This window comes from Homo sapiens, chromosome 13, assembly GCF_000001405.40.
Source record: "Homo sapiens chromosome 13, GRCh38.p14 Primary Assembly".
Lineage (NCBI taxonomy): Eukaryota > Metazoa > Chordata > Mammalia > Primates > Hominidae > Homo > Homo sapiens.
Window position 1 is genome coordinate 109,708,319 of NC_000013.11, and position 11,219 is coordinate 109,719,537.

Genomic DNA, 11,219 nt, shown 5'->3' on the forward strand with positions numbered 1-11,219 from the left:
TCACCTCATCATGTCTATTTTCCATGTGGTTCAAGCTTTTAGGTTACATGGCTAATAGGTTAACCCAAATAAACCACATTATGGCTTGTTTATTGCTCTCTGTACAGCACTACTAAGACGGGTGTTAAACCCAACTTCCTCCTCGTGAAAGAACACCTAAGCCTGGAAACTTCCCACTTCGCTGTTCATTATAAGGTTCGAAAAACACAAACTCCATGACAGTGCTTCAGAGGTGCTTTCCAGCAGCTCTAGGCACAAGGAGTACTATCATTTGAGGTTTTCAGGATTTTATGTTAGATGAAGCAGAGTTAGTAAAATCATTTTAAATTTTCTTCTAAAGAACTATCAAGATTGTAAGGACATTCAAAAACAAATTTTATGTACATAGTACTAATAACATCCACGTATTTCCAAACATCTAAATACTTGAAATTGTATGTAATCAGCAAGTATCATAGTATACCTTTATCATGACTGATAAAACCTTTGGAAGCTGAGTAAGTAATTTTCAAAAATTATTAGTTCCTGAAAGACCCTGAAATCTGTTTCATAAATTGGAAATGAAATCTAGCTATTAATTCAAGATCCTCTAGATAAATCATACCCTGGGCACCTTGAAAGAATCAAAGATTTTCAGTACTTTTTTCCACATACTCAAGGTATAATATTATAAGACAAGAAAGGAGATAGACTGAGGCTTCCATTTATCTACTACTCATTAATCATTTATTGAGCATCTACACTGGGTCAGATATTATGTTAGGTATTGTGGATACAAAGATGAATGAAGCAAACTTCCTGTCCACAACTCATTGTAACTAGAGAGAATAATTTTAGCAGGGGAGAAGTAGAATTGTAAGTTGGGAAGGCAGATTTGAACAACAGTGTGGTAAATCTCAAATATTAGACTAAAGGTTTTATCCTGTAATTATTGGAGAATAGGGAATTATTTGGAAAATAAAATTAACATAAAAGAAATAATTAAAAACATACTACCAGCGCCGGAAGTAGCTTTAGAGCAGGGGTCCGCGAGCTCCAGGGCATGGACTGGTACCAGGTCCATGGCCTGTTAGGAACTGGCTGCACCGCAGAAGATGAGCCACAAGCCACGGGGAGCATTACCACCTAAGCTCCGCCTCCTGTCAGATCAGCACTTGCATTAGATTCAGGAACATTGGAGCACAAACACTATTGTGACCTGTGCATGCGAGGGATCTAGGTTGTGCACTCCTTATGAGAATCTAATGCCTGATGATCTGTCACTGTCTCCCATCATCCCCAGATGGGACTGTCTAGTTGCAGGAAAACAAGCTCAGGGCTCCCACTGATTCTACATTACGGTGACTTGTATAATTATGTCATTATATATTACGATATAATAATAATAAAAATAAAGCACGCACTTGAATCATCCCAAAACCATCTCCCCACCCCCAGTGGTCTGTGGAACAGTTGTCTTCCATGAAACCAGTCCCTGGTGCCAAAAAGGTTAGGGACAGAATATCCAGCCTCTACTCTCATCCCCTCTGGACTGGAGCCACTTTATATCTAGAAAGGCGATTTATTTGTTTTGTTCTCTGCAGTGCCTGGTAGAAAGTAATCCACTCAATATATGTTTAATAAATAAATGAAAGAAACAGGAAAGTATAAACCCAAGTAACTGATTTAATGACTTGCCTGAGGTCACCCTGAAGTGGCCAAACCCCAGGTTCCCTGTTCAGCTATGACCAGAGCCCATTCTTCATTCATTGTTAAACATAAACTAGATGTTTTATCCACACAGAGATAGCTATCTAGAGATATGAACTTCCAGAAAGTTGACCGTATTTTTTGTTTACATGTGGATATCTGATATCTTGAAAATATACACATTTAGTCATTAAGTTTAAAATTAAAATATAGGCCTAAAATTTTTTGGAGCCATACTTCCAATAATAATATTATATGGATGCACAAGCTATATTACATATTAGGAAAAACAATAAAGCCCCAAACCTACAGATTTCTCTCTCTCACACACACACACACACACACACACACACACACACACACTGCTCACCAAGATTGTTGATTCTCCAGTTTTCCAAACACTTTGTTTCTCTACTGTAGCTCTAGGTGAAACAAGACTGATCCTGAGTTTATAGCTGCTGAAGCTGGGTGATGACTCCATGGCTTCTCATTAGACCATGGCCTCTTCATCTGTATATTTTTCAATTGCCCATTAAAAAATGTTTTTAAATTGAGAGCCAAAAAAGAGTATCCATTAACAAATAAATGTATCATTCAGTCGGCTTATTTAGCAGCAGTCAGAAGAAAACTCCTTCTGAACTGAGCAGGTCAGGCATCTATATAGAATTGTTTCTTGGCAGATGGCTGAGCTGTCCAGGAGTACCAAATGTAGGCACCTGCCCAAGGTAACTTAGGAGGTTTTCCCCTTAGAAGGGAGAGAGAGAGAGGAGGATGGAGAACGTCTCTGCAATCCCTTATATCTTATTGCATAACTTTCTGCTGAATGGAGAGCTGCCTGCTTGTTTCAGGGAGAATGTCATTTTTTTATACCCAAAACTTAAAAAACAATATTGTTATGCAGAAAAGATTTAAAAAATTTCTAGAGTTGTAAGTGAAAACTAAATTACTAGGAATCATTCATCAAATTTTACCAACTCTAGATTCTGATTTTATTTTTGTATGTGTGCCAAAATAGATGTTTACCCATGGGTACAGATCACAACCAATTTGCAAGAGCAAGTGGGAAGAAAGCTGACTACTCCTTCACCTCTGCTGCACTTCCTAAGTTTGACCATTGATATCTGAAGATAGAAGTCACATGTGCATGTGTGAATATAAAATATACCTTCCTCAATTAAATATACAAGACAAAGCCACTTTAGGAAGCATATTCTCAGATTGTTGGCTGCAGTCTTTGACCAACCCAAATAAAGATTAGATAGTTGTAACTGTAAGAGCTGAAGAAACTGAAAACTGAGCATATTTCCTGAAATTGTGAGCATAGTTAAGTGTCTTCACTTTTTCAGAAAAACTGAAATGGGATGAGGAGACAAAACCCCTCATAACCTAAAGCTCTGTTATTTTTTTTTTTTCTTTTTTGGAGATGAAGTCTCATTCTGTCGCCCAGGCTGGAGTGCAGTGGCGCAATCTTGGCTCTCTGCAACTTCTGCCTCCCGGGTTCAAGCGATTCTCCTGCCTCAGCCTCCCAAGTAGCTGGGATTACAGGCGAGCGCCACCACACCAGCTAATTTTTGTATTTTCAGTAGAGACTGGGTTTCACCACGTTGTCCAGGATGGTCTTGATCTCCTGACATCGTGATCTGCCTGCCTCGGCCTCCCGAAGTGCTGGGCTTACAGGCATGAGCCACTGCACCGGGCCCTGAACTATATACATTTCTATCTGCACATCTAATGTCTAGTATCCGCTGACCACAGAATAAACTCAATAAATGTTTGCTTTTGAACATATAAATCATTGTTGTTATAACTCTAATTATATGAGAATAAATGGAAGATACTGGCATAATCTATATACATATTTACATATATAGGTATATGTCATCTATACATTGTTCATACAGATTTGAGCAGAAAACCTTAATGAGCGAACCCTGACACATGGTTGCTTCAGCTTTAAGTGTGTCCAAATGTCTAAGAAAATATGGAATAGAATTTGTAATAGGGTTTTAAGATCAATGCATAAAATATGTCACTATGTTTATGAAAGCATAGACCGCCTGAGCTGTAACAGGTACAGAGTTCTGGAAATATGAATTCTTCCTTTCACACACTATTAAGATGTCCTGCAGGAGTCGAATCGTTTTAATGTTTCTGTTCTGGATGAAATAAGCCACATTTACGCAGCTACAATCTCTAGCTAACACAGATGAGTAATAAGTTTTAGGCCGAAATGATTGTGATGTGATGCTTTCAAGTGAGGAAGTGCCGTCCAGAGTCACTGGCTCTCAGAATTGGAGGGAAATTCATGCAGTGGGGAAGCTCACAGAGGATCTCGCTAAAGACTGAGTTAAATGGCCTGGAACTCAACTTACAAGCAGGTTAAAAAATAACAACCTTCCTTCCTTGTCTAGCTCCTTTAAGTGAAGTATTTTCTATCTTGGAGGCCTCTTTTGAAATGCAATACTCCTGAGAGTGGTCACACCTTAAGTTATCAGCTAACACTTTCCGAGGGATTAGCAGACAGCCGGCAGAGAAAAAGAAATGGGATTTAGGCAAAATGCCTGAGGGCTGGAGGGGAGACACTGCCTGGAGAAAGGTTAACTAGTCTGTTGATTTGCTGATAGACAAATTTCACGTACTCCAGAGCATTTGGTCTACAGTGGAGACTCCCAAATTCTGGATTCTATAACACCACCAAAAAGCCTACAATTTCCCAGATTATCTTGCAAGCAACTTAAGTCTGCATGGAATACAAACAAAATAAACCCACTATTGGCCTTTGTATAATTGAAAATTATTAACTTTACTTAGAACATATTCAAATTATTTCTGAGGATTGTTTATATACATGAGATCAGACTTTTTAAATTATAAATGCATTTTAAGAAGGTAAAGGACACAGTAAAAATATAGCAAGTCTTAATAAGCCTACACAGTGAAAACTCATCAGATTCTTCTAGATTGCAACTAAGATACACTACAAAAAACCCCAGATGGGCCAGGCACGGTGGCTCACGCCTGTAATCTCAATACTTTGGGAGGCCGAGAAGGGCAGATCACAAGGTCGGGAGTTCGAGACCAGCCTGGCCAACATGGTGAAACCCTGTCTCTACTAAAAGAAACATTTCTGTTCCGTATGAAATAAACCACACTCACACAGCTACAATCTCTAGCTAACACATACAAAAATTAGTCGGGCATGGTGGCGGGCACCTGTAGTCCCAGCTACTCAGGAGGCTGAGGCAGGAGAATCTCTTGAACCCGGGAAGCGGAGGTTGCAGTGAGCTGAGATGGCGCCACTGCACTCCAGCCTGGGCGATGGTGTGAAGCTCCTTCTCAAAAAAAAAAAAAAAAAAAAAAACCCAGATGTGCCCTGCCTTAGGATTTTTTGACTTAACAATGGCACAAAAGCAACACACATCCAGTGGAAACTGTATTTCCAGAGCTGAAATAACCATTCCGTGTTTCATTTTCAAGAGGCTGTTCAGTCAATTATATGAGATATTCAACTCATTATTATAAAACAGGCTTTGTGTGAGGTGGTTTTGCCCAACTGTAGGCTAATGTTAAGTATTCCGAACACGTTTACGGTAGGCTAGGCTAAGCTATGACGTTTGGTAGGTGTATTCAATGCATTTTCGACTTACATTTTTAGTTTACAATGGGTTTATAGGAATGTGTATTAGTCCATTCTCATACTGCTATAAAGAAATACCTGAGACTGGATAATTTATAAACAAAAGAGGTTTAATTGACTCACAGTTCCACAGGCTCTCCAGGAAGCACGGCTCAGGAGGCCTCAGGAAACTTTCAATCATGTGCGGGCGAAGGGGAAGCAGGCACATGGCTGGAGCAGGAGGAAGAGAGTGAAGCGGGAGGTGCCACACACTTTTCAACAACCAGAACTCACTGTCACAAGAACAGCAAGGGGAAGATCCACCCCCATGATCCAATAGCCTCCCACCAGGCCCCTCTTCCAACAGTGGGGATTGCAATAAGATTTTGGCAGAGAGACAGACCCAAACCATACCAGATGTAACTGTATCATAAGTTGAGGGACATTGGTATATAGCTTATATAATAGAAAAAGAGAATTTCTCTTCAGTTTTAGGAATCTTTTTTTTCCCCAGGAGCCTATTTTTAATTGTTCTTACTACTCTGGGTATAGTATGTTACAGTCTTAGAGTATTTATGCTTTATCTTCAAATGTCAGCTTACACTGATCAATTTAGGGCAGAAGCCTGTTATAGTCCTTTCTTGGAACCACACCACATAGAAGAAATAATTTTTTTTTAACTTTTTTTTGTTTTATGCTTTTCTGATACTTTTTCCTACGGACTTCCTGGAGGCAACAAAGCTAAACAAGCTCTTCAAAGTTTAATCGACCTCTTCGGATCTATGACTGTATGGGTAGGCCCTAATGGACTTAAATATTATCAAAAGTTGCTGAGCACAGGCTTTGTAAGTGCACATTTCGTTAATATTGCCTCCACTTCTCCATTTATGATCATGGGGAACACACGCAGCACAGACAGAAGGTATCTCCCCACTCCATTTTTTTCATTGATTTGTATCTTCTTTTGCCATGAAACTTTTCACTATCACCAATAACAAAGAGCCAGACAGAGATGAATTTACATTCATTACCTTACCTTATTTTTAACCTTAGGCAACCATAATCGTGAGCAAGTGAAGGGTCAAAGCTATTAGTATTCCTAAATGAATAGTAGATTTATTTTGAAAGTGATCATTAAGAGGAAATGTGCTTATTCCTTAGTGCTTTAATTTGGCAAACACATTTGAGTTTCTCTTGTGCCCCAGGTACCGTGCTAGGCTCTGGGTGTCAAAGGATAAGGACAAACACAGCTGTTGCCTCTCAAGATCTAGCATAAGGCAACAATTAGTAAACTGGGTCTAATTTGTGAAATAGCAGTATGTGAATTCTGTTGAAAAATACTGAACTCATGCCCAAAAGACTCGGTTTATCATCCCAGCGTTGACATTTACTAGTTATGTGACCTTGAACAAGTCACTGTGTCTCCCTCACCTCTAGGTTTTTCTCCCAAAAAGTGTGACATTTGACCACAACTAGATGATTCTTTTCTGTTCCAAAGCTGTATGATTCCCTGGTCATAGTCAAGCCCATCGATGGGGAAAACTAGAATAGAACTTATTGGATGGGTACCATGCATGCCATCATTTAACGTCGCCTTGTCCTCTGGGGGCCGTTATCCCACAGGACTCCATGGCTTCCTGCCTCTCTACCATCTCCTCTCTCTGTGGAAGCAAGGGTCGGCTCACAGTTTGGAATCTCAATTGTTGAGAAAGTGTAATTGTTTACAAGGACAGACCAATGAGTAAAACCAGCCATATTTTCACACACACAAAAAGGGGCGATAGATCTCAACTTCTCATTATGGATAAAAATTTCAAAATATCAAGTCAGGTGAAGGACATGTGCAGCGAGGACTGGTGTGACCTCAGGACTCAGCATTTATTTTACCTCATTAGTGTAAGAATGTCACAAGATTGACAGGAACAGCAATTCAATCAATCGGCTTCAATCAAGGCTACCAAAAATGAGAGCCAATCTCTTGCCATTAGATTTTGGGCTTCAAACAATTTTAGGAAGAAGTTCTATTCGCTAGCTGTATAAACACTAGAAATTTATTGCCTGAAATCTTTGTATGAAAGATTATTCCCTGAAGTCTTTGTCTGAAAGTTTTGCGTGTAAGATTAGCAAATCTTTTTAAAAAGCAATAAATATCAAACAATAAGAAAAAGGAAGTTGAGAAACTCAAAGACCACAGTTTAATCTGGAATGGATCCACTGGAAAAGTATATTGTTAACATGAGTTCATCTAAACGTACACGCTAACTTGTAGCAACTGAGTTTCAAAGCCCCTCCCTCATTCTGCCCCCACTGGCAAACAATTTCTAGGTCTGCTAGGAGAAAAAGATCTTCAATTGCCTCAGTGAGAGGATGGGGGCAGAAAGGAGCCTCAAATCTTCCATGTCCACATAAACCCTTAGTCATCTGTCACATGTGAAATCCCTGCTGTCAGCCCTGACCCACATGGCAGGAGCCAGGCTCATTCTGAAGCAACACTTGTTGCTGTTGCAAGGAGTGACCTGTTCATATAAAAGCCTACTTCACAGTGCCAGGCTAACTTTTGTTCAGGGACAAAATCCTCTGTTGCCAGAAACAACAACAGCATTTGCTCCTCAGGTCAACGTAATACCTCACTAATGAGATTACCTTCTTCATTCTAACAGATTTTTCTGCTATGTGGAGACCAAGAATATGAGAATGCCTACTTAATTTAATGTCCTCTGAATATTATACTGATTTGAAAAAAAAAATACTGTTGTTTCAATGTTGCTGTTGACATTTGAGGCAGAGGGACAGTTTACAATGGGACACGCAGGACTCACATCCAGTGAGTAGGAAGGACTTTTTCAGCCTGGGGGAAAATAAGACAAAGTGATGGTTAAAGGTGATGGCTCCAGAGTCACAGGTGTGGGTTTGAACCCTGGGTTTCTCATCTACTAGCTGTCTGGTCTTGGATAAGTTTCTTAATCTTTAAATCTTAGTAGTGCTGGTAATATGAAGGTTTGGGTGAGATTTAAGTAAGATTCTGCACTAAAAGCAATTTTCACCATACCTTGCACGTAGCGAAGGCCTACATTTCCATATATATATTATTCCTATTTGTATTACATTACCATGGCTGTCACAACAAAGTACCCCAGACTTGGTGGCTTAAACAATAGAAATTGATTATCTCACGGTTCTGTGGGCCAGAAGTCCAAGATCCAGGTGGTGGCAGGGCTGGCTTCTTCTGACATCTGTGAGGGAGGCTCTGCTCCAGGCCTCTCCCTGGCTGTAGACGCCTATCTTCTCCCTGAGTCTCTCCACATCGTCTTTACTCTATGCTTGTGTCTATGTGCAACTTTCCCCTTTCGCTAAGGACAGCAACCATAGTGACCTTGATTACCTCTCTAAAGACCCTGTCCCCCAAATATAATCATATTATGTGATGCTGGGAGTTTCAAATTTCATCACATAAATTTGGAGGAGACACAATTCAATCCATACTGCTGTTGATATAGGTAATAATAACAACTATTATTAGTATCATGTTTAGAGCAGAGGTCATCCACTCCAGAAAACTGCATGTCTTTGAAATGGGAAATTCTTTCCTAGTGCCTCGAACGTAATAAATGACTTGAAGTGGGTAAGAAGAGGCTACAAGAATGAATGAGTGAGTGAGTGAACGTAATAAATGACTTGAAGTGGGTAAGAGGCTACAAGAATGAATGAGTGAGTGAGTGAGTGAATGTAATAAATGACTTGAAGTGGGTAAGAGGCTACAAGAATGAATGAGTGAGTGAGTGAGTGAATGTAATAAATGACTTGAAGTGGGTAAGAGGCTACAAGAATGAATGAGTGAGTGAGTGAGTGAATGTAATAAATGACTTGAAGTGGGTAAGAGGCTACAAGAATGAATGAGTGAGTGAGTGAGTGAATGTAATAAATGACTTGAAGTGGGTAAGAGGCTACAAGAGTGAATGAGTGAATGAGTGAGTGAATGGTGGGCAGGATATGAGGAGCCTTAAGGATTTACCTCCAGCAGGGATGGGGCAAGTGACCAATGGAGCTCCAAGCATCTGCGGGAGGTAAACAGCAGATGTATAAAAGGAGCCTTCTCGAGAGCCTGCAGGTCTAAGACCACAGCGATAGGAGGACAGGGCAAGAACCTCTGTTCCAGAAGGATTGGGACCAGGAAGAAAGCTGCAGAGAGGCAGGCTCGTGCTCACCTGCAGTCATGCCCATCTTGCCCACCTGCTGTCTGCGACTAGGCCAACTCCTAAACCTCTCTGAAGCTTAAGACCTGCCACAGTGGGCTGTGCCAGAGTTGGAGTGGAGACTCACTGAGATCATCTAGAAGAGGCACCTGCCTCAAAGCCTTCAGGTAATACCCACACATAAACCTTAGGGTTTTTCCTACCTGCAATTCTGTGTTCTGGCCCCTTCACGATGACCCAGCCAGCCTAGGCATCAAGCCACGGAAAGTCCTAGAGGAAGTGGGACCTGGCTGAAGTGGGTATAAGCATGTAGAGACCAAAGCTGGCAGAAGATGACCCCGGCTATCCATCCCCATATTTTGGGAACTTCCTGGAGGAAGCCATCCTACGAGGTGCCCCAGAGGAAAGGAACCTATTTTTAATGAGGTTACATTGTAACTAAATTGATAGCAGGGAGGGAGAAACAGAAGCTTCTGAGGGAGTATAGGTGTGGTGGATATTTGATAATACTCTGAAATATTTTTGGTCTTATTTTATTTGCTTTTACTACAAGAAAAGAAAATCTGCTTTATTTAGAAAGCCATTTAGAAGTCCTTACTGGCTAATAAATACATAATAAGTAAATATTTATTATACTTATTATAATATATATAATACTATATAATATATAAATACTATATAATATAGTAATATATATTAAGTAATATTGTGACTTCTTAGGAAAGTCACATTATACATTTATTAGCCAACTTAAACTCAAAAATGAGAAATAAGAATGTCCTTTTATAAAATAAACAAGACACACAAAAAAATCTAACTCCAAATATCTAATTCAAGCTGCTGATTGAAAGTTGGATTGTAAGTGGCCCGTGGGCAACTTCTACTTCCTACTACAAAATATGTTGTTTTCCTTGCAAAAGAGTACTTGGAAATTCTTCCAGGCAACAGCAAATTCAGTAAGCAGATGAGGGACTCTGACTGATTAATATAAATGAGAGTCTAGAACAGCAGAACTCTGGAAAATGAGCAAGTAAAGAAGCCCTGAAAAAGAAAAAGCAATAAAGCTTGCCTGTTGATTCAGGAAAACAGCCTCCATTGTTACTGAAACTTGATTCACAGTTGATGGTGAGTTATGGAAAGGGCAAAAGGACAAAATCCTTTTATAAATATAGTTCTGTAGGGCATGGGAAGCAATCAAATGGTGCTGTGAGACTGAACACAAATCATGCTTTTTTCAAGGATAATTATTTTGAATCAACAACCTAAGTATTTCCAGTGCACTTCTGCAAGACAAATATTTTCTTGGGATGAAAAAATAAATATGTTTTGCAAAGAAATCGAGACCATATCCAAAAAGGCTGAAAAGGGTGTGTGTATACACATATATACGCCTATATAAACACATCATATATGGTCTATGTACATACACCACGTGACACCATGTATCACATACATGCAACATATACCACACAAGCTAGTAATAATTATTTGTACCAAATCTATTTCTTAAGACTGTAATACTGTGTTCACACAGTCACCATTTAGAGATATATTATCACAGTGTCAATCACCAGGACTACAGACTATTCTTATAGCTTGCTGAAGTTTAGTTTTGTACTTAGAAATCAGAGCTGATCTCTCATACACAGCAGGAATTAAATATTTAACAGTTCTCCATAGAACTTCATAAAAAAAGAGTAAAGGAGACAGAAATTACTGCT

At 39.6% G+C, this 11,219-nt stretch overlaps 1 annotated feature.

Annotated features, from left to right (window-relative positions):
* Positions 3,884 to 4,393: an enhancer, noted in NCBI's record as "NANOG hESC enhancer chr13:110364549-110365058 (GRCh37/hg19 assembly coordinates)". NCBI's record gives its function as "activates a minimal SCP1, AML or CMV promoter by ChIP-STARR-seq in naive H9 embryonic stem cells {active_cell/tissue: H9 hESC(naive)}" and the evidence as "EXISTENCE:reporter gene assay evidence [ECO:0000049][PMID:30033119]".